The 25,228-nt window shown below is 38.8% G+C and overlaps 1 protein-coding gene across 8 annotated transcripts in view; it reads right to left on the bottom strand.

Moving 5' to 3' along the window:
• Positions 1–25,228, bottom strand: part of MACROD2 (mono-ADP ribosylhydrolase 2) — a 2,057,682-nt gene that overhangs the window by 4,781 nt on the left and 2,027,673 nt on the right. For 6 of the 8 annotated variants that reach the window (NM_001351661.2, NM_001351663.2, NM_001351664.2 and 3 more), the window contains 2 exons: positions 7,139–7,216; positions 3,778–3,846 (listed from right to left, as the gene is read on the bottom strand). In NM_001351661.2, the coding sequence (NP_001338590.1) occupies positions 3,778–3,846; positions 7,139–7,216 (147 nt within the window). The remainder of the gene's footprint in view (positions 1–3,777; positions 3,847–7,138; positions 7,217–25,228) is intronic. The other 2 variants (NM_080676.6, XM_017027676.2) reach the window with 1 other exon arrangement.

Genomic DNA, 25,228 nt, shown 5'->3' with positions numbered 1-25,228 from the left:
ACTACTACATTTTAATTTGTTTTTTCTATTGTCGTTAATTATTTAGTGTTGCTCTTTTCTTATTGTTTTAGGTCTGCTTTTATTTGTTTTGTCATTCAAATGTAGTTATTTTATAAAATCTTCAAAATTTCCTACTCTCTTAACGTTCTCATAGTGCTAATTGTCCTGTAATTTTACCTACTGACTCTCACTCAAAATGGATCATTTCCTTGTGTGTTCTGTAAGTCTTAAAACTATGAATTCAACTTCAGAATTTGTTTTTCTTTTGCAGAAATTCCATGGGGTAGTTTCATATTTCCATTTGCCACATACACCAGGAATCACACTGGTCTGTAATCAATTATTAAGTTCATTTTTCAATTTGTTTATTACTGCATGACTTTGGATCACATAAAATTATGTTTCAAACTCACAGTGTATTTGCGGTTTCTATCTATCTTGGGAGCCTTTTTCTCTCCCCATGCAGTACCTGGCGCAGATCCAAGTCTTTCTATTAATTTCTTGAGCTAGAAGTCCTAGATTTATTTATGCAGAGGTATCAGTTCCAACTCCTTACGTTGAATGGTTCAAGGTCCAAGGTGGGCATTAAAATGCAAGACTGTGGCCATAAGGCCTGTCTCTGTATCAACAATCTAAAGCCCCAAATTTAGTGGCTTATAACATGAGTGATTCACTATTTCTCATGATTTTACCATCTGGCCTGGACTGAGCAGGACAGTTCATCTGCTTGAGGGTGGTACCTGCTGGGGCCAGAACATCTGAAAGGGATTCTCATTTTCTAGGACTTTTCTCCATGTGACCTCCTTCATTCTATAGGATAACCTGGGCTTCTTCCAAGGTGTCTGGATTCCAGGCAACGAGCATTACGAGAGTGCAAAAACGGAAGTTACAAGCCTCTTAAAGCTCAACCTAGAAGCCACACTCAGTCTGCCATGTTTCTCCAGAACCAAAGGTTCAGATTCCATAACCATCATTACTGCCCTCAAATACTTGTTGGAAAACATTTACATTTGGAAAGTGTTCCACTGATGCATTTAACCCTCTCCCTGTTGTATCCTTATGCTATCCCTGATTTTTTACAATTACAAATTATACAACGCCAAACATTCTTGTATTATGTCTTTGAGCTCTCTAATTCTATTTCACTGTATTTCTTTAATTTCCTTGAAGGTATGATTCATGGAGCAAGGGTTCCTTCTTTCTGTCAAACGACCAGATCATCTTAACAAACCCTTCTGTGTAAATATTGCTGTGGGAGTCAGTGACGTTGCACAAATCATTCATTCTGCCTCTGTGACAACTGTGTCCAGAAACTTGCTATTGCTTAGGGAGCAGAATTTTGAATTGGAGTATTTAAATTTCCATTTATTAGCCAGGTGACCCTGTGCATGTCACTTCTCCTTCCTGGAATTTAGTTTCCTTAAACTAATTTTGGACTTTAAGTTTTGATACCTGGCCTTTAATCCCAGCACTTTGGGAGGCCGAGGCAAGTAGATCACTTGAGATCAGGAATTCAAGACCAGCCTGGCCAACATGGTGAAACCCTATCTCTATTAAAAATACAAAAAATTAGCCAGTTGTGGTGGTACGCGACTGTAATCCCAGCTACTCAGGAGGCAGAGGCATGAGAATCCCTTGAAACAGGGAGGTGAAGTTTGCAGTAAGCCAAGATCGTGCCACTACACTGTAGCCCGGGTGACAGAGTGAGACTCTGTCTCAAAAAAAAAAAAAAAAAAAAAAAGTTTTGACACCTGATTCATTTGGGTTAACATATGAGTTCATTTTTATTTTCAAGAAAAATATCATTTTGATATTAACCAAGAAAAACAGACTAATCCTGGCACTTCATCTGGACACTGGTCACACAGGAAAGAAATAATGTCTGTAAGAAAAAAGTCTAGACAAGAAGCCTATAGTTTATTGGCAGCAAAAGGGTAAAAGGAAAGGAAACACTGAGGAGCTTGCATTTAAATTGTTCAAGTTTAGTCTCATTTCATTACTTTTTAATGGAAACTCCTCAACCGTATCATTTCTGCAGCTTAGCAGGGTATTTTAAATATATAAAGAAAGTAAAAAAAAAAAGGAGAAATGTTTATAAGAACATGTTTGTATGAGCTTATACTTTTTAGCAGTCTTATGCTATACATGCATTACACAGATACCATTACATTTAGTTTTATAGGATATTCAAGACCATACAGGAATAAGACATGTACTCTTTCACACATTCCCATATTTTATTCTTCCATGATGCTGGAGCACAAGAGTGGTAAAGCCAAGCCTCTTAGGAAAGTGTAGAGAACCATCAAGAACATGCAGTGAGTGCAAGGAGGTACAGGGGGCAAGGGTGTCAACACATTATTTGTGCCTTACACTAGATGACCCATGATTCATTTATTCCATAGGTTTTTTTCTTTTTTTTTTAACAACTAAATATTTTAAACCAGAACTTGGAACAGTTATAACATCAAGCATAATTTCCTTCTTCTAATTCTTCTCATCAGCCCTCAGGGTATGGAAGAGGATTATAGACCACTCAGGTAGCAGTGTAAAGGAGGCTTAGCATGACTAGCTCCATTTTGCTCCCCGCTGCCCCCGTCCAGTGATATCTTTTAGGTTGATTGCTTTTGCTCATCTCTTCATGCAGGGTGAGCTAACTACGGCAGGAATTTACTTTATAGTTCAACTTTAAAGCAAAGATGACAATAGTTCCTTCCCAAAACTAACCACCGAAGAGATAAAGACAGTATGCACACAAGTAACAACATTATGTTAAAGATTTATAGGAGCAATGTGACCTGACCAAGGGCAAAGACGTTTCACAACTCCCCCTTGAACCCTTGCTGCAGTCCAGATGTCTGTCACCTCTTGATCTCAACCACCTCTCTGTTCCTTTTCCTCAAAGAGAAAAGGAGCCTAAAATTCTATAAATTTAGGGTGATTCTTTAGGACATTAATTTGCCATCTTCTTGGTTTGCTGGCTCTTGGAATAAAGTCATTTTCCTTGCCTCAACACGTTGTCTCTTGATGTATTGGCTGCCATGAAGCAAGCAGTACTGGCTTTGGACTCAGTTACACTCATCATTCTAAATATATTTTAGTCTCTACTGAGAGATTTAGAATGTTGGTCTGGAAAAACTCCTAAACATGATCTGGACCAGGCTTTTTATTTTCCTGGGAGTTCCCTGAAGCTCATTCAACGTAACAAACCCAGGCTTTTTATTTTCCTGGGAGTTCCCTGAAGCTCATTCAACATAACAAACCTTTGTGCAGACGCACGGGTCCACAGGTAGTGGTGTGAAAAAAACAGGACCTAAGGCAGGCTTGTTTCTGTCCAAACACACTCATATTCCTTTATACAAACTCCAGGGCAAAGATTGAGTGTTATGCTTAAAGACAGATATACCAAGCAACTCAGCAGGTAGCTTCTAGAAAAGCAATGCTTCAGAATCAGCTTGGAGTTTCTGAAATAATTTGACCACTCCAGGAGGCCAGGGGGTGAGATGGATGGAGACATTTTTTACTTGTCAAAGCACAGAAAACCAGGGTATACATGATTTGAATGTGCTGTAGCTCATCTTTTCCTCTTCAAGATGGCAAGCTTCTAGGGGTGATCGTTTCCCCTTACGCTGTGTTATTTGGTTTAAAGATTTTCAAGGTTTATCCCAAGCCATGCTGTGGGGACTTGGCAAAACCAAGGGAAATCCAGTATGTCATTTGCAAATAGTTCTTATGGCTGGTTGATCATTGAAAATCTCACCACAAGGGGCATCTTACCTATTAGTTGATCTTCTTGTTGACTCTCTGTTGGGTCATTTACCTTGTCAACCTGACTATTCATTTCAACTGTCACCAGAAAAAAAAAAAAAGTTAAATATTCATTAAACCTAAATCTCTGAGACACATTAAAATGACCCATGATTTGATACTTTCCTGATTTCCTATTTGATGCCTCTTTTCCATTTGTTTTCATTCATTCAAGATTTGGGGACTATTCTTGTAGATTTTTACTGGTGGGGGTAGAGGATATACCTCAGACGCCCCCTTCAAATCTTATGTTGAAATGTAATCCCTAATGTTGGAGGTGGGGCCTGGTGAGAGGTGATTGGATTGCAGGGATGTATCCTTCATGAATGGTTTAGTGCCATCTTCTTAGTGATGAGTGAGCTCATATGAGATCTGGTTGTTTAAAAGTGTGTGACACGTTGCTTCTAGTCTTGCTTCTAGTCTGGCCATGTGAGTTGCATACTCCCCCTTCCTCTCCCGCCATGATTGTAAGCTTCCTGAGTTCCTCATCAGAAGCAGATGCTGGCACCCTGCTTCCTGTAAAGCCTGCAGAACCATGAGACAAACCTCTTTTCTTTCTAAATTATCCAGTCTTGGGTATTTCTTTATAGCAACACAAAAAAGGCCTAACCCATTGTGGGAGGGCAGGATTGCCTCTTCCCTCAACTGAAACTGAGTCGTCACTTCAGACCAGATTTTTGGGTTGACAGTTTGGATGTACATATTATGATTCTTGGATAAATGCAAAGGCTTTAATAGATATCTAAGAAAATAAAGAGAGAAGGCAAAGCAAAGCACATCACTGACATGCAGAGAGGTAAGCAGCTTGCTCCAAAATGTCAATATCAGGCCTGTTTGGTTTGCCATACTTTCAATTTCGAATTCAAAACAGACCTTGTAGACTTGCCGACGGCTGCTGTAGTGGCAGTGAGCGGCCATGAAATTAAAAAGCCGACCATCTAACCAGATCCCGTAGTTGTGATAAAACGTGTGCTTTTACCTGACTCAGTGTATTCTATGTGAGCATTTGAATAAAAATAGAATGCATGATTACTGCCATTCTCCAGAAGTAACCCAGAGCAGGCATAGCACTCACTCTAAATTTTCCAAGGGTCAGTAGGTTTAATTAGATTGATATTTTCTCAAGCATCAAAGTCCACATTATAAGCTGAGAAAATCAGTATACAAATAGACAATGGCCAGATCATATATAATGATAGAATTCTGATGTAAAACCTCTGCAGAAGCTAGCCTAGGCAACCAAAACACAGTCTCTGCAGCAATTGACTCAGAATGGTCAGGACTTGGTCAGTGACTGTCAGCGTCCCTATTTTTTACCTCTGCTTCCAACTTGGGACCAACCAGGGAAGGCCAAATGTATTCCCTAATACAATCACTTAAGGTGCCCCACTTCTAGTTAGCCATGTCCAGCTTCTCTAGGCCAACAACCTCCAATCAGAGCATGCTTGAAGTATTCTCTTTTTCTAACCTATAAAGGGGGGTTTCCCATCCCCTGCCCGCCTTTGAGCCTGCCAAACACAAGTGATAATGGCCACCCTTGTTATAGTTACCTTTGAATAAGTAACCACTGTTTGTTCTCATTTGGGCAGTTTTCATTTATTTGCACAAAACCAACAGCCTGTATCTCCTTTTTCACAAACATGAAATTAGTGTAAAGTAGTGGCAGATGCTGATTTTCACACTTCAAAGAGGCTTGAAAGAGAGAATGACTTTATATGGCATCCACTGAACTCTCTCCCAATAAGGAAGGTTTTAAAAGCAGGTCTCAGTGTTCTCACCTGCAAACTGCCCTGAGTTTCTAATGATGTGTGAACTCATTTTAAACCCCATAAATAAACTGGCCCCAGATGCAGCAACCCTATGTAAGTATAAGCATTCATCCACCGTCCATCCTGCTCTGCAAAGTTATTGTGAGTTCACCCTTCTCAGTGTGGGAGTGTGCAGGATAAAATACAGGAGAGTATTCCTTTTCTGTTTCTTCTTCCAACCAAGGGATACTAGTTCTAAAACCTACTAATAAATGGTACAATAAAAAGCATCCCATCACCAAATAAGTTTGGGAAAAGCAACTTTAAATCTTGTTAAACATGTCTCTTTACCTCTGAGACTTCTGAGGGCCTGCAATCCTCTGCTGTGTATGGTGAATCTCTAAGTGAGGACTAAAACTCCGTATTTCACATTTACTTCTCTTTTATTCATGGGCCTGATAGTCCTCAGAACATGATTTGTAAATAACTAGTTAAGAACCATGTCTGTAGCATCACAACCAAGCTGAAGCAGGTTTAGTTCAACTGCTCATAACTAACAAGCAGTGGCTCTTAAGGGATGGGTCTGGGGCTTAAAAACATTGTTCTCACAGGCAATGCATGCCCATGAGTAAAAAGCCAATTTGGGCAATATAAGCCGATGGGCTTATAATTAAGGAAGGCAATTCAGGTGATGATAAGCCGGTGGGAACAAGGAATACCTGGTATAGGAAATTCTATTTAAAACTATAAATAACATCCACCATTGGCTAAATTTTTTCCAAGGTCATTATCAACTCAAAGTAATTTGTTTTTTTCCTTTGGCTAAAATAACCCAAATGGCAAGATACTTAAATGACTGACCACCTAACCAATTCTGGTTCTCCTAAACTCTATGGGCCAGTGGAATCAAATACTTATTACATTAGGTAGGCTTAAATAGTTGTTTCTCTAATGTAAGTAATGGTATTTCAAAGGGCCCTTAGCATCTTTGTGCAGGGGAAAAGGGATATTAATATTCCTGAGGCTCAGACTCTTTAGATGCCTACAAAATTAGATGTAAGTTTTTAAAGGTTGTTTGAAAATTTATTTTTAAGGTGCTTTTAAAGACTCACTATGTTTTTAACCAAGGCAATGGATGTGATACAGTGGAGTGAAGTGATGAAGGTACAAGAACAATCTTAGCCCACACCAAAGGTAGGGCTCTCCCGAATGCTGAGTGGAGCAGGGTAACAGGAGGCTAAGTAGGCTAAGTACCTTTTGCAGAAGTAAGTAATGCTTCCATAAAGTTCACTAGATAGACTTCAGTTCAGTTTAGTCTTGAAAGTATCTATTGAGTCCTCAGTATTATAAGATATGATTAAACCAGGACATATGCTGTTTTAAAACAGCTAGAAACAGGTTTTTTTTTTAAATAAGAGGTTGCCATTTTTATTAGTTTGTAGCACAAAATTGTTTTTGAAATTTACTGTGTTCTAACCAAATATGTTGCTTTATAGAACAGATAGTTCCCTTAATCCTAGATTACACATAGAAAATATGCCAGATTTGTAGTTTCCATGGGCTCCAATAGCTCAGAACCTTACCATCAGGACCTGGAGTATTTTCTAGGTCACTGGAGCCTTCACTTTTCCCAGGCATCCTAGGTGTGTCCTCGCCTGGAGCTGGAAGAGAAAAAGACCACAGTCCCTGATGAATAGAGAATTATAACAGCCTGAGGGCCAATCATTTCTGTCACCCTCCATTGCCCTTTTAAATTCAAAAATACTCCTGGGATTCAACTTCTTTTGCAGAAAAGGTTAAAAGAGGAAACAGAGGGTTGAGTTGCTTGAATACTTTTGTGTGGCCTTCTAAGTTCTCTTTAATTTGTGAGATGATCACATATATACATATATAGTTTCTCAAATTAGAAATCTGGTAGCATGACAGCAGGAAAAGTTGATTTCCTCAGAACAACCTACAGTTTAAATTTAGGGAAGTGTGTCTGTATGCATGGGTGGGTGTGAGAGAGAGTTTATGTAGTTTAACCTTAGAAGAAGAAAAAGAGAAAATGAATTTTGCCTTAGGCATGACTGAAAGCTGAAAGATTCATTCTCCTGGTAGTGAGAGTTTTTGTTGTTGTTGTTGTTTGTTTTTTAAACAGAAACAAATGGTTTAGTTGTTTCCTTAGGAGACCTCTGATGCTGCCATTTCGGATTGCTGAGAATTTAGTCGTCAGTAGATTTCCTTTGTGACTGGCCTCTATTTGCACAGCTTCACAAGGTGCTTCGATAAGATGCTTCAATGTAGTAAAGGAATTGTGTTTCATATTGTAAAAACATTTCCAGGTATTCAAAAGGACAATCATTTCTTGCTTCTTAGTTAAATCTCTCTTAAGTTTTTATAACTTGAAGAGCAAGGACATTTGTAAATACAAATACATACATAAAGTGCTAGAAAACCCATAATTTTAAAGGTTTTATGATTCCTGTACATTTTTAAAGAGAGGATTAAATTTATTTTCATTACCTGATTACTTACTGTGTCCAGAGTATGTTAAACTTCATGTGCCTATTGATGAGAAAAAAGCAAGGACAGGAAAGATCCAGTTTATAATGTCTACAAAGGAAGAGATCTTCAGAGGTAGAATTTGTACTCTTGGTAATGGTGTATTGAGGTTGACAATTAAGAAATATGATTCAAAGGTGACTGGGCTCTGAGCTTAGGTAGATGAATGGCAGAGAGGTCATTAATTGATGACATATAAAACAAGCAGAGTGGGAAAAGAAGAACAAAGTCATTTTAGATTTAAAGCCTGAAGTGTAGGGGCATTTATGTGAGATATCAAACAAGTTTTGCATCTAGCACTGGGGAGAGAATTATGAGAAGAGAATTATGAATGGAACATGTGGGTATTTGGGGGACACCAAGATAGGGTAACATTCATAGTATGAAAGTAGATGAAAGAACTCAGGAAAAAGATAACACAAGGGAAAAAAAGGACTCATGGTCTCCTCAACTCTTCAAGGACAAGATGAAAGTCACTGTGTCCACAGTGCTTTTCACTAGCTCCTGAGAATGAGGTGGAAAAGGAAAAACAAAACTTGGAACTTCCAACTGGACTTGTTAACACTATATAATACCTTTCTCACACTGCCTATTCTAGAAATATATCATTTTTCAATTGTTCATCAACATACTCCTTGAACACACAATTACAGAAGAAACCATTTGTGAACTCCCCTAAGCCTGCGAGCAGGAAAACTTTGCTAATTATGCCTTAGAACACAGAAGTAATAGGGAGCAAGAACAAAATATTTGACTTTATAAACATAATAAACTTTTTAATGGAAAAAATACCAAAAGAAATGTTTAAAAAGCTACAAATTGAGGGAAAATATTTGCACCTTTTATCGTAGACAAAGTGTTACTACAATCTTTAATATATAAGGCCTTTTAAAAATGGAGATGAAGAAGACCACCAACTTAATAGGAAAATGGACAAGAGATTTAACAGACAGTTAATAAAAGAAGATATAAAAATGGCCTGCAAAACACATGAAAAGGTAATTTACTTTGCTAACAACAAAAGGAATGCAAATTAAAATTATAATGAGAAAGGGATTCTGCCTAAGGTGGACTGTAATGATTCAGACTAACCCTCTACCAAGAACAGCTAGAAACACTGAACATATTATTTAAAATAGCATTGTAAGGCCCCAGAGTGCTATGAATGCAGGACAAACCTGAGGAAATGCAAAATGGTGAAGCTGACATTGCACATGTGTCAAGAAGTTGAATAGAGCCTGCAGGTGTTTTGTGAGGCTAGGGGCAGGGAGCAAAACTTGAAGGTTGGGTTCTACCAAGGAGAGGTACCCTGCTAACTACCTCAGGTTTTTGGTGGGGTACCCTGAAGGGTTATATCCTGGGGACAAGCATGAACTTGAAATAGACCATCTCTTTAAAAAAACCTGAAGTCTAACTTTTAATTAATACAATTCCTGATTGAATTATAGTGCTCTGCTGTCAGAAGCAAAAGTAAATCTTCTCTGGAGGAAGATTAAAAGCCTCAAGTTATCTCTACAGTTTTTCAAACAGTGTCCAGAATTCAATGCGAAAATTACCTGGCATTTCAGAGGAACAAGAACAAGTCACTGAAAACCAAGAGAATAAAAGAGATGACATATGGATAGACATCAGAGATCCAGGTATTGCAGAGGCAGCTTAAATAACAATTAATGTATTTTGGAAATTGGATGCCAAGTTGAATAATTTTTACGGCAAAGTAGTTTATCAGAGAGCTGGATACTTTTTCAAAAGTCAGATGAAAATTCTAGAACCGAAAAAAAAAAACCCCACAAAAACAAGTTAAGAATTAAATAGGTGATTTTGACAGCAGGTAGACCCAGTTGAAGAGGTGATTAGTAAGCCAAAAGCTAGGTCGGAAAAAGATACGAAGCCTAAATTGCAGATGAAAACCCCAGATAAGAGTGAAGGAACCATATGAGATAGGATTTATCCTATGTAAAATAGAGCAAAAGGAATATTTTAAGAGATAATGTCTGATAATTTGCCAAAATTAATGAAAGATATCAGATATCATCTCAAACCACTGTTTCAAGACTGTTATGATTCCGAAGCAAAATTAATGAAAAAAACTATCACTCAGTCTAATCATTGTGAAACTGCTGAAAACCAACATTAAAGAAAAAAAAAGTTATCTAGTGAATAAAGATCCATTAACTTCAAAATAACAATAAAACTTATAGATAAATTCATAACAAAAATAATGGAAGCCAGAGATGATGCAATGACATCTTTGAAGTGTTAAAAAAAAAAAGATTTTCAAATTTGAATTTGAAATAAAATATTTTTCAGAGAATATGACTGAGAGAATTTGGTGTCCACAGACCTATGCTGAAGAAATAGTTTCCCCTACCCTCAAAAAGAAATAAATGTGAAAGGTAATGTGGACAAAGACCTTCACATCATTATGCAAAATTTCTTACACAGGACAAAGCACCAACCATTAAAATAAGTTTATCAAAACATGCTAAGGGAGAGGAAAATAAGCCAAAAGACTCCTGTACAGAATATATAAGAAATAAACATACAAAATAACCTTGAAAAGACAGGGAACCCAACAGAAAGTGGACAAGACACAAACAGACGTGTCACAAAAGAGGATATTGTGGCTGGTCATTTAATTTTTTCAATAACTTTGACCAAATCTCATAGCACTTAAAAGCCTTGGCTTTTTCACTAGTAAAATGATTATAAAATATTCTGACTCATCTTAACTCTCTGGGACATCATCAGACCTATTTAAAATATAATATTATTATTATTTATATGAAATGATTACTGTGGAAAAATTAATTGATAAGCTCTATCTAAGCATTACTTTCTTGACTATTTTCTTAGGGTCCTTGTTTCTGATGGGATCTAGAGGTACCTGTAGCTGATTCTTTCAGGAAATATCTTTCTAAGTTGTTACTCTCAATGGTAATAACCCTGGTTACATTACTATGGGGAAACCCCTCTGGTATCACAGAGAACTTTCTATCTAATAGGCATAATTCTAGTCTATTAAACAATGCTTAGTGAAATAAGGGAGGGTACAAAACACTTTCAAAAGTTAGGTGAGAGAGAGGAAAAAGTTGAAGAAAGCAAAATGCAAATAGCAAATCAGAAAACAGTAAACATTTAAATTTCTAGCCCTATGCTTGTCCTTCTAACCTCACTTCACAATGGAATGTGTGAGAAATCTCAGGTTGTGCCACAGTATTGGCATAGATTAGTATGAGATTCAATGGCAGATTTGAAATCCATGAAACAGAGAGAAAAAAACAGAAATCAAAGTTGTAGCTCTGTATACCACTATATTCCTGGAGCAGAGGGAAGTATAGTCTGTTAGATCTGCTTTCCAAGACTCCAATATCATGTTTGGTAGAGATTGTTCATTAATTTAATATCATGAGTGCACATGAGGTTTTCCTGTATGTGTGGACATGCACTGTGAATATGATGCATATGTGTGCAATGGTATGTTTATGTGAATTTGCATGTGCGTGCGTGCATGTGTGTGTGAGTTGTTTGTTTGGAAAGTGGGAGAGGAATGACAGATATTTCTTACTGTGTCATGCATGTGGAACTGGTACTATCCTAATAGCTTCTACATCGCTGGGCAGTGCAACTGGATGCCCTACAGAAATGAATCCATTTCACATAGACAACATAATCTGATAAAAACAAAAATGGCCTCTGTGGCCTATTTATTACAGTTTGCCTGTCCCTCCTTCCATTTGGATTGCTGCTGGTTGAAACACAAACAAGAGGTACATTCCAGAGCTCCTAGCAGGGGATAAAAGATGCAGAAATAGAAAAAGTCTGGGACATTCAGTACTATTTTCATTTTCTATCAACAACTGCAACTGTACTGCTCAAACCCTTGATTATAGCAATTTTTTCTAGGTTAGTGGAGTTACATAAAAAGTAATAAATGAGGCAGATGTCATCATAGAAGAAAAGATACTGAGATGCACACAGAATGTAGTTAATTAGACTTTTAAATATATAAACGTGAGAGATGCTGGCCGGGGGAGGAGTCCTCCAAGCTTTTCTTTTGAGATGTGTATTGACAGTAAACTTCACACAACAAATAGAATTACAAGTAATTATTTGGCAGAATCTGTAGTTGCATAGGTGACATGATAGGTACAGAGCTCAGGGCCTGTCTGGATTCAATTGTATTGAATTAAAGTGGTATCAACCGAAAGCAAACCTTCTTGAACCACCTTGACAACTTTTGCCATACCTATGTTCCAACTTCACTATTAATGTAATTGGATTAGATAATGCGTTCAGAAATGTTTCCTTCCTACCTGCCACCCTCATGGGAATCTACTTCACTCTCTCTTGATGCTGGGCTTAATTACAAAATTTGCTTTGGCCAATGGGATGTTAGCAGAAGTGTGTCAAGGAGAGACTTGAAATGCATTTGACAGTTGGGGCTTTCCTTCTCCTACCTTTTACCGCAAGGACAACATGCTTTAGGGGTAGCTCATCCGAGGAGGATGAGACCAGGACTCAGCTCATGTGGATGGATACACTTCCTGGCCCAGACTAGTTGCAGTTGATCCTAATATCCATGAGCAAAAGAACAGACAACTGTTCTAAATCCCCTGAGGTTGAAGATGGTTTGAGATGAAGCATTACATTACTGTGGTGATAGCTAACTAACACACATAATAATACACTTCTAATCGATTCAGTTCTAAATTTTTCTTAATTTTGTCCCATAGAAATTATAGCTATGAAATCTTGAGCTTCATTTGTGGCTAATTTTTTAACATGCCATAATGTGTTAATCTTTACATCACCTAAAATCATCTATCAAACTACAAATGGTGAGTGTACATAACTTTGAGAAACACTGAATTAATGTATACAAAGGAGAAGTCCCTTAACAGGCTAAACTCTGCTCACTTCTTTTCCTCTGGGTAGATACTCAGTAGTGGGATTGCTGGATTAACTGGGAGTTCTACATTTGAAAAAGATACTTGCACATGCATGTTTATAGCAGCACAATTCACAACTGCAAAATCGTGGAACCAACCCAAAGGCTCATCAGTCAATGAGTGGATAAAGAAACTCTGGTATATATATAATATATAATATTTTATATTATATTTTATATATAATATATAATATTTTATATTTTATATTATATTTTATATATAATATATAATATATAATATTTTATATTATATTTTATATATAATATATAATATTTTATATTACATATTATATTTTATATATAATATTTTATATTCTATATTATATTTTATATATTAGTTATATGATAGAATACTACTCAGCCATTAAAAGGAATAAATTAACAGCATTTACAATGACATGGATGAGATTGGAGACTATGATTCTAAGTGAAGTAACTCAGGAATGGAGAACCAAAGATCGTATGTTCTCACTGATATGTGGGAGCTAAGCTATGAGGACGCAAAGGCATAAGAATGATGCAATGGACTTTGGGGACTTAGGGGGAAGAGTATGAGAGGGCAAGAGATAAAGGACAACATATATGGTGCAGTATATACTGCTCAGGTGATGGGTGCACCAGGATCTCACAAATCACCACTAAAGAACTTACTCATGTAACCAAATATCACCTGTACCCCAATAACTTATGGAAAAATAAAATAATAATAATAAAGTGTTAAAACTGAATATAATACCAAAAACAAACAAACAAAAAATAAACTGTGCTCACTGTGGTATGGTTCTAAAATGGAAGAAAACTGGTCTTGGAGTTTAGGGCATCTGCACGTACATTTAACTCCCAAGCTCGGATGGAAGAAGGCTATTATTCCATATGCACAGACACGAATTTATGTTCTTTTTAAGCTAATGATTGTTGGAAAAGATGAGCTCAATTAGATTTCATTTTCCCCTAGACTTCCCAGTTCACTGTCTAGGTCTAGAATGCATGTGCAACTAAGTGAAAGGAGATCAAAGACCAATTTAATGAGGAATAACACAGCGTCAATATCAACACCAGCTTGAAGAGAAGCTGAGTCCACGGTACACTATACCGTAATGATGCTTTCCCACAAACTGCTCCTTATAATGAAGTCAACAGCATTATCTAAAATAATCATCATGTGGTTCCAACAGCCATAAACTAAATAAATTTAACTTCTAAAAAAGCATTCCAGTCCTTGATAATGGCATGGATTTATTCATTCACATAGCTGTAGTAATGTCCAGGTTTCATATTCAGGTATTTTGTGAAAATCCATAGGGGTGCAAGGGGTAAACACTTGCTCTTAAAATTCATCCAGTGTGAAAGGAGTCAAAATAAAACAGGTAGCAATTTACCCCACTTTCCCTACAACAAATGCCATTCAACAAACCACAACTCCAACTTCTAGAAATTCCTTCTCTCATTGAGTATGCCTTTGATTTTTTCTCTCTCTGTGTCTCTCCCTTTCTCTTTCTCCCCCACCCCACCCCCTACTGTGATAGGTTCTGAACCTCAAGTCTGCTTACTTCTGGCTATCTTTCTCAGAGGTGTCACTATTAGTGAAAGGGGATGAAGTTTAACTCACTAGACTTAGGCAGAGCTGATTTCAAATCCAAGTCCTGGCATTTCTATTTATGTGATTTGGGGGCAAGTTCTGCTCACTTCCAGAGTCTTGGTTTTGTCACTTGTAGAGGGAGTTAATGATAACTCTCTCATAAAACTGGAGGATTGAAAGACATAATGACTGACTATCATAAATGCCTGATTAATATTTATTGGCTACTTCTGGGTATCTCTTTATCACTGACCCTTAAGAACACAAACCTAGCTGAATCACCTCTTCATATCATTCAATAATTTACCACATATCCCTCCTCTGGGGTATCATTCATTCATTATTCTATTATACAGCCAGCATATTGTGCTGCATACCTACTATGTATGAAGCTTAATTTAAAAAGTTAAATGAATTAGAGCTCTGATGTAGCTAGATTAAATCTCAGAGGAGAAAGCACTGTTGCTTTTCGGCATTGTATTTTTCTTTTATTCCTTCTCCTTGTCCATAATTAGCTTTCTTGCATTCTACATCTACATGAAGAACAAATAAGTATCAAAAATAAAATGTCACACAGTCTCTCTTTCTGACTTTGGAACAAGATTTATTCTTTTCAATTTACTATAGGTAAATTGGTCCAGTCTTTATTTAAAAGTCAGATTCCATATAAAAACTTTATTAACATGTAGCTATTTTACTCTCAGTCTTTAAGTTTTTAGTTGGAAATGGGCTGTTTTAATTAACAAGTGCCAAGAATAATTGTTTTTAGTCAAAAGTAATGTTTAAATTCTTTAGTCACAGTCACGCAAAATAAGTCAAAGGCTTTTAACCCATTGTGCTGCTCTTCAGAGGCATTTTCAGTTTTTACCTCTTAGTAGATAGGGTGTCCAGAGTCTTCCCCTCCTCTCCTGTCCTTCCTCTTACCTTTTCCTCATTTTCCTTTTGTTTCTTCCTTCCTTCTCTCTTTTTTCCTCCCCTTCCCTCCCTCCCTCCCTTCCTGCCCTTCCTTCCTCTCTTCCTTCCTCTCTTCCCTCCTCCCTTTCTTCCCTTCTTCTCTCCTTCTTCCTCCACCTTTCTTCCTGTATCCTAATTTTTTCCCTCCTTCCCTCTTCTCATCCATCCCTCTTTCCTTTTCTTTCTTCCCTCCCTCTTTTCTTCCTTCTTTTTGTCCCTCCTTCCCTCCTTCCTCTACCTTCCTTCCTGCATCCTAGTTTCTCCTTCTCTCCTTCCCTGCCTCCCTTCTTTCTCCTTCCCTCCCCTCTTTCTTCCTTTCTTCCTTGAATTTAAGACTTATTATTATGGACACTTTCATGTTTTATGAAGATTTAATTAACCAAAACAAACTACAATTTAATGAGATATTAATATATAATTTTTTAATGTCAAGTTTCATTTTAGATACAGGGGTACATGTGCAGATTTGTTACTTGGGAATATTGCATGACGCTGAAGTTTGGAGTACGGATCCTGTCACCCTGGTGGTAAGCATAGCACCCGATTGGTAGTTTCTTCACCCACTCCACTCCCTCCACCCTCCAAGGGTCCACATTGTATATTGTTCCCATATTTATTCCATGTGTGCTCATTGCTTAGCTCCCACTTACAGGTGAAAACATACTATATGCTAACTTTTTAAAATAGCATGCGTTTATTTCTAAATAGAAATAAAGATAAAGTTCAATAAACCTAACCCTTAAATAACTGTAGTGACATTAAAAAACAACAGAAAGGACACTTACACATAATTAACACTTTCAAACTGCTCAGAAAAATGCTAATGAAAAATGACCCTGAACAACTCTTTCCATGTTAAAATGTTCCTATTACCTTCCCAGAAAAAAATAATGCACACAATTCCCATCTCTTTCATTCTCTCTCTTTGCTCTTTTCCCACTCTTGCCCTACTTCATACCCTCTCTCATCTCAGTTTTCATTTACTTAAAATATAGATGATACTTTCTATTCTCTGCAGTCTGGCCTTTTTATTTTCTACATAAATATATGTATTTATAATACGTACATACTTTATTAGCAGGTACTAGCAAATGTGCATTGATTAGTATTGCATTTTAATATGTGCATTGATTTTAGTGCCTATTCAATATATGCATTTACTATATATCGATGAGCATGCCATTGTAATCTGTGTTAATATCTCATTGCATAAATATAGATATATCATAATTTCTTTATCCAGGCCCACATCAGTGGACTTCTGATGTGTTTCTACACTGTTGCTTTTACAAACAGCTTCAGTGAATGTTCTTGCACTTATATTTTGGAAAGATTTTGTAAATATTTCCCAAGGATGAATTCCGAGTGAATTTCTAGATCTAGTGTATGTGAACTGTTAATCTTCATAGATGTTACAAAATTTCCTTCCAAAAAGGTCAGATCAATCAGATCACTTAGAGCATGATAATGATAACGATAATGATTTCTCCGCAATCTCCAGCAGTGAGTATACTCAAACTTTTCAGGGAAGAAAACAGTATGTCCTCATTGTTTTGATTTACATTACGAGTGAAATTACCCTTTCTACCTCCCTTCTTTTCTTCCTCCTCCCTGTCTTTTGTCATCTGTTTTTATATTTTACCAATTTCCTATTTGATTGTTTTTTTTCCATGATTTTTGTATATTCTAAACTAAGAAAATTAACCCTTCCCTGTCTAATACATTGTGAATATTTTCTCCTGGATTGTCATCTTTTTATTTTCTTTAAGATACATTAAATAAATTTAACTATGTATTCTTCTAAAAGTTTTAGGTATTTTTAAGTGACATGTCATGTGCCAGTATAACCATAAAATTCTTTATTAAAAATCGTTAAACTTATCAAAGATGTGTTTCAGGACGAGATTTCTGTATTGATTTTTTAAAACATGGTTTGACCATTAGATCATCAATTCAGCTTCCCTTTGTTTTAAGACATTTTCTGTTCTATACATTGACTTCTAAATTTCAGCGACACCTATCATTCTCACATAGAGCAATTTTTGTGTTTTCTCTTCCATATGTATTATATTTTCACTGTGAAAATCTCAACCTTTTTTCTTTGTCAGTAATTTGGTCTTTGCTGTTCTTAACTGATTTATTTCTCTAAGAGTGGAACATTTATCTCCTTAGTTCTTACATTTCAGATCAGTTATGTTATTTTTATCACTGCATCTTCAAGCTTGTTAACATTTTTTCAAAGTTCATCTGTGGTCATTGCAGGGAATTTGGATCTTTCTCTTGGGTTATGTTTTCTTCCACAGTACGTTCTTCACCTGCCCTTTACTGGGTTGCATGCTCACTTGCTCTCTTCCTTCCTTCCCTCTCTTTCTCAGTCAAGGTTTCAGTGTGCTTGCAGGGTGATGTGTATGCCACATGCATGTCAGCAAGCTGCTCCCTTTCTATACTGCTCTGTGGCTCCTTGGTCCTCCAGCAGCTGCCTAGAAGCCTTTCATTTGGAGGTTTTCCTTGGGAGGGGTAAAGCAGCCACATTCATTGTGTTGGATTTCTCAGCAAGTATATAGCATATCCCACGCCCAGCCCAGGTTCCCCCCAAATTTGTCTGCACAGTTGCCATCTTGGACTTCCATAGTGGGGGATATCTTTGGGGCTTGGACTTCCCATAGTGGGCACTATCTTTGGGGCTTGGATAATTCCTTCAATTCAACATGAGACTCAGAACTTTCCAGGAGAAAGAGTCAGTCTGAAAGTTCCTCTGTTCCCTTTTGCTGTTTTCTTTCTTAGCCTTCCACCCTAGCAGGTGATAAACCCTCTGCAGCCTTGTCAGAGAGCGAAGGTGGCTCCTTCTTCAAGGAAGCATCACCTGGGGCCTGCTAGCACCTCCTTCCCTGGTTCTTGTTCACGCCAGAGACCTTGCCTTATGTATGTCCTCTTAAATTTTCTATTTTGTGAAATTCCCGGGATTTTGCTAGAGATAATTAGTTCTAGTCATTTGTTATTGGTCTGCTTTTTCTTTCCCGTTTTCCTTCAGAGGTATTGACATGGAGGATTACAAAGGTTATTCTTGTTTCTCTGGGGAAAGACTGAGTAAAAGGTGTTCATGGCTGACTTCATGCTCTTGTGGAAATTTCCTTGGCCTTTTCTCTCCTAGTTAGGGAGGTAAATGGTAGCTGGTGTGATCTTATTCAGGATGATTTCTGAGCCTGTAGAGTTAGGGATGGGGTAGGGCAACACCAGGCTCGTTCCTTCCGCACATTTCCAGAAAGGTGCCTTCCTTTTGCTGGCTACCCACCCTTTCTTTCGTTTAATTACTGTTTTTGTTGATGATACTTGCTTGCCTGTTTTACTTCTCTTCCTTCATATTGTTAAGTTTGGAGGAGAGTAAGGTTTTAAAATGTGACTACACACCACCTTCTTTCACCCAAGATCAGGTGTTCAGAGGCTCTTGATTCTTCTAGGTATTCGTTGTGGGTGTCACATGCACCTGGCCTTTGCCAGCAGCTGGTTTCAAGAATATTTTTCAAATGATGGTTCTGATCAGACTTGATATGATGGATTAGTATTTGTGTCCTCCCAAAATTCAAAGGTTGTAGCCCCAACCTGCAAGTTACTGTATTTATAAATAGGGCCTTTTGGAGACAACCAAGGTTAAATGAGGTCATGAGGGTGGGACCTTAATCTGATAGGACTGTGGCCTTATGCAAAGAAGAAGAGAGAAATCTCTCTCTGCTCTGCCATGCGAGGACACGGTGAGAAGACGGCTGTCTATGAAACAGGAAGCAAATTTTCACCAGAAACCAAATTAGCAGCACCTCGATCTTGGACTTCCAGCCTCCAGAACTGGGAGAAATACATTTCTGTTGTTTAAGCGCCCCAGCCTAAGGTATTTTGTTATGGCAGCCGAGCAGATGGATACACTTGATTTACACTTAGTCCATGCTTCTTTAGGACAAAGATACAATTGATTGTATGCCATCTGTTACTCACCTAGTCTGTTTTTTCCAAATAGCCTCCATCCTAAAGCTGCTACTTGACCACTGAACCTCTCTTCGTCACTTGGACAAACACTGTAGACACACACATTTGGCCCCCTCTCCAAAGTCAAATAGTGAATGATTACACTGACAGGAACATACTTGTGGAAAATGTGCCTGTGCCTGTTTTTACAAAAGACCCTTTCCATGGCAACAGAAATTTTCATGTATTAGTTGGGAATACTCTACCCTAATCAAAATCAGAAACTGTCTTTACCAAGTGATGAAAGGCAGTGATGATAGCTGAGGGTGAGCACGAGATCCTGATATATAGAAATACTTTTATGTTTGGCCAGATAATATGCCTCCATATGCCTCTTTGAGAATGGTTTGGAAATGCTTCATCAGTCATCGTCAGAATAACTACTCTACAGAGAACTCAGTATTTAGGAAGAAGAGCAAAAAAAAAAAAAATGTCCACCAGGTACTTCAATGCCTATTATGTTCTGGGATACAAAATGAATGAGGCACACCTCTGCCCTCATGGAGTTCACAAGCCAGCCAACGCAGAGAGAAAGTCATCCCCCACCCACGAGGCCAAATGGCAAGCACTGTCATATGAACCAAGCATGGTGGATGCACAAAGGAGAGAGTGAGCCACCTTTTGTGAGGATGAAGAAAAATCTTTGAGGACAAGAAAATAACATTTGAGTTGGAACTAGATGGATGAGTCAGTTTCAAAGGAGTTCCAGCTTCTCTGTATAGTGGTCCCAACCACTGAAGCCTTCCCAGGTGTCATCACATTTGGCTTAACTGAGCTGCATTCTGATCACATTCCACATGTCTGGCTTTTTCTTTCCCTTTTCCAGGCCTCAATTAAGCATCTAATTCTCATTCAGCCTCATTATGCATTCTCCACCCCTCCAGGGCTTGGCTGGAATGAAATGAAGACTATAAGGAGGCCCTTCTCAGCTGGGGGCTGCCAGAGCTGATCTCAGATCAGGGTCTTTCCAGCAGGAATAATGCAAATTGGGTGTCTCTAACACTCCCCTCCACCCCATCATGCACCTTTTGTGGCTTTTGTTTCTCTGCAGAAACCAGCTAAATCTGTACACAGCAGGGTCCTAGTGAACACAGAGATATGTACTTTTTCCAGAGGAGTTTCTTGATTCTTTTACTCTAATAGGGTTTTAACTATGTAAGGAGCCACAGTGGGGGCAACTTCTGTCTTTTCAATGGTTCTTTATGTGAAATCTCACAAGGAAGGAACTTAGTGCTGAAAATAACCAAGGCTGAATTCTTTGAAACTTCATCATACACTTAAGGCCCACAGAAGAAGCATCTCTGATGGCGAGGGTTGAAATCCTGCATGATTATGTATCTAGCTCTTCAGTCAAAGAATAACTTAATCCTATACATTCTTAATTATAGATGTCTTTAATTATTTGCGCTATATCTTGTCCTGTTTGTAGGTCACATTTTCCTAAATAGCATAATTTGTTCTGAATATTTAATAAAATCTAGTGCATCACCTTTGTCCATGACCAAAGGACTAGAAATGTACGCTGCATCCAAGAAATAATCTTGCTGGTTTACAGAAGCATTAGAGGAAGGCTGTCTGAGGGCTCTGAACTGGAAGTAAATGCATGCGGTTCTGCTAAGCTAATTCCATTTCCGGTCTCAGTCTCTCAACACCAATTCTTTCAGCTTCAGAGAAAAATGATAGAATTTTTTTCCTACTAGGAGAAGTTTCCAAACACATCTGCATTAAGTGAAAGCCCATTTTCTAGGCAGCTTATTTTCACAAAGCAATATCACACATACTTGGGCCTTAATCTTTGATCTTTGTTGGGTTTAAACATTTTTATGCCTTCTGAGAGTTAATTACTCCCAGAGCAAACACATACACACACCTGAAAGAGTGTCTAGGTCACATTAACTAAACATGCAACCAAAAGTGCTACTAAACTCAGCCAGATGACTTTGGCTAAGGAGAAGTCAAAGCTACCTGTGAGATGTTGATGTTACCTTTGCCGAAACCCTCCTCGTAGGGGCTTTATTCCACTTTTTAGGCTTATGAACAAGTGTTGTCTTTTGTTGTCTGAAAAAGGGCCACTTTCCTCAAAAAATAAAAAAAACTCCTTGACTGTCTCCCAGTCCAATTAAACCCCTTAGAGATGTGAACAGAGGACCCCAGAGAAGTGGCATGACTTCTCCAGGCCACCCAGCAATGAGGTTGGGACCAAATGTTCTCCTAACTCTACTTCTGGGATATTTCCACCCCATCACTAGTGACAGTGGTGAGAGAGCCTTGCAGAGGCAGGTGAAATGGGGCTGGAATTTGAAAGGTGGCCCTAAACTTTCTTTCACAGGCCTGCCTGGTCAACTGTAATCCACTTGAAAGTAATGGACTCAAACATCTTCCATATTCCTGAGATTCTTGGGGGAGGCATAGTCAAGTAAACTCATTCACAATGAAGACAGTAAGTTCCTGTCACATGCCAGGGACATCACTATGATCTGCACCATCTGTGGCAGTGAATACAGTAAAATGGTGGTGTACTGAGGCTCTCCCCTCCTGCAGGATCTGCAGAGCCCTGTAGCATGGACCTCATTCCCCTTCAGATGTTTCAGGATCAAAGCTTGGTGGTTTGATTCTCCTTTGTTTTTGTTTGTTTGTTTGTTTGTTTGTTGTTTTGTTTTTTTGAGATGGAGTTTTGCTCTTGTCGCCCAGGCTGGAGTGCAGTGGCGCAATCTTGACTCACTGCAACCTTCACCTCCTGGGTTCAAGCGATTCTCCTGCCTCAGCCTCCCCAGTAGCTGGGAATACAGGCACCCACCACCACGCCCAGCTAATTTTTCTTTTTTTTTTTTTTAGTAGAGATGGGGTTTCACCATGTTGGCCAGGCTGGTCTCCAACTCCTGACCTCAGATGATCCACCTGTCTTGGTGTCCCAAAGTGCTGGGATTACAGGTGTGAGCCACCATGCCCGGCCAATTCTCTAAGATGGGATCACTCTGTGGCCCTGCTCTGGAAAACCAGATTAATGTTGCTTTGGATCTCTTATCCCTGTGGTTAGAAATGCATTATGGCATGGTTTAGAATGCCAGGGAACAGATTCTAAAAATGAGGCAGCACAAGGCTTTATGGTTTTCTTGAGCACCAGAGGGCCTGGGGTCCCAGCAGTAATGGCAGAGGTCAATCCACAGCAGTTGGGTCTGTGATGATGTCCCCCAACCCGCCATCCCCAGGCGGCTTCCTGAATTCATATCAAAGCACCAGCTCCACTCAGGCCTGACATCTCTGGGTGGCTCAGCACTCTTCCAGAACCCCTGGGTGCTAAGCATCTTAACTGGCCTTTTCCTTCAAGCTTGATTGACTTCTGCCTGCTGAAAATTGCTTTTGTCTTGACTGCTGTTATCTCCAGGTACCCTGGTCTCTCCCATAGTCAAGAATCTTTTGCTTTTTTCAGAATGTTGACAACAAACAGATGTTCTTTGCCCTCTGTTTGGGCTTTGCCTCCTTGCCTCATATCTCAGGCTGCCACAGCTGTTCCTGCAGTTGTCAAGCTGACTTCATTCTCTGTGTGAAAACAGCACCTCCAATGACAGAATGGACTCTGCGAGCACCAAATAATGGGCCCACAGCTGCTTTAGCTACTGACATTTAACCTCTTGTTCCAGGAGACAGTTCAAGAAACTTTCCCTATCATAGAAAAAAATAGCATCCAGAATTTTCCTTTCAGGCAAAGACACCTTAATCCTTTTCTTGTTCATGTATTTTTACCAAACTAGAGAGTCTGTCACATAACTTCTTCGGCAAGATAACAATTCACCTTTGAGAAGAAGGCAATCCAGTTTTGATTTATTGATCTCAGGGCACAATGCTTTTCTAAAAACAAACAAACAAACAAACAAAAAGCCTAGACCAGTCTGCAAATAAAAACCTGAAGAGCAGGCTTTTTAAAGAGGAAAAAAACCCAGCAGAGTTAATTTCTTTCTTTTTATAGAATTACATAGACATTTTTGCTCGTAAAAAAAAATTTGAAAGTTGAAAATAATGCAGCTAGAAGCAGGAACACCCCCTCCCCCTTTGCCCTGTGGCTTCCTTTGAGCAAATAAAAGAGTTATACGAATAGCTACCCTCAATTTTCAGCTTCCTGGTTCTGTCGTATTTAATCTGGTTGCTATTTGGCTGACTTCAATAGAATATTGATCATTTGCGTGGTTGTAGACCTGAGAGAAAGAAAGAAGGCAGGCTCTCCTTTACCAGTCAATGTCCTCCATTACAAAGAGGCTATGTGGTAGTTGGCATGTGTGTGTGTGTGTCTGTGTGTGTGTGTGTCTGTGTGTGTGTGTGTGAACATGGCTGCATGGGTTGGGTGAAAAAGTAGTGCTCTTTACATTTTTATTATGTAGGAAGGAAGTTGTATTTTTTATAGCTATTTGTTACTACTGTATTTCATTGTTTTGAAGACATTTTTTCTACATCTTCACATTGAAGAAGTTGAAATGAATAGAATGATCAATAGCCTTACAATTGCTATTAATCTGGATTGAAGCCACATTCAGACAGAGAGGATTTGCACTTCCTTGTTAGTCACACTAGGCAGCATTATCAACCTGAAACCACTTAAAGTCCCTAACTGAGGCTTCTATGAACCACACTTGTATGAATTTAGGACACAAACTTGCATGATTAGCATTAGACTGTGATCCAAATTATTAAGGGGACATTTTTTAAACCTCCATTAATCAATGCCGCAATTAAGACACCTAAGTCTCCTAGCTATTTGGAGCAGCTATTGTTGATGCCTGGGCCATCACCCCAGCCCACCTCTGAGCTCCACTGCAGCTGCAGGGGACAGTATCTCTGCACTCTGATGGTATCCCTCCTCAAGTGCCTACATTTTTCTACTTCTCCACCAAAAGCACCAATGTAGCTTGTTCAGCCCTTGTAGAGGACAGCCCAGGGGTCCTGAGCGCATAGAATTTGGGAATCATTTGCTTACTGACTGCTCTTCACTAAAAGTGCTGGAGATCTACTCGCCCCACCCCCAGACAAACTTCAACCAATAAGGAAAGGGAGTCACTGGGTAACAGCCCAGCTTCCCTACCCATGACTGTACAATTCTGAGGTGTGTTCTACAGAATGCTTCACAGAGGCCTCAGTGGGATTGAGTCCCAACTGCTAACAATGACAGTCTGCTCATGATCATACTTCAATGGGTGCCTTCCATTCTCGGTCTCATTTCCCCACCTCCTCACATGTGCTTCCTCGGATTGCCTCCCAGGTAACCCACCTGCCCTCAAGATTTGGCCTATAGATCTGCTTTTAGAGGGCCATAAACCAAGGCACCATCTCTTTTTTTTTTTTTTTTTTTTTGAGATGGAGTCTCGCTCTGTCCCCTAGGCTGGAGTGCAGTGACAGGATCTCAGCTCACTGCAAGCTTCACCTCCCAGGTTCAGCCATTCTCCTGCCTCAGCCTCCCAAGTAGCTGGGACTACAGGAGCCCGCCACCATGCCCGGCTAATTTTTTGTATTTTTAGTAGAGACGGGGTTTCACCGTGTTAGCCAGGACAGTCTCGATCTCCTGACCTCGTAATCTGCCTGCCTCAGCCTCCCAAAGTGCTGAGATTACAGGCGTGAGCCACCATGCCCGGATGGCAC

The sequence above is a fragment of the Homo sapiens genome, chromosome 20 (genome assembly GCF_000001405.40).
Source record: "Homo sapiens chromosome 20, GRCh38.p14 Primary Assembly".
NCBI lineage: Eukaryota > Metazoa > Chordata > Mammalia > Primates > Hominidae > Homo > Homo sapiens.
This window is presented reverse-complemented; position numbering and strand designations above follow the sequence as displayed.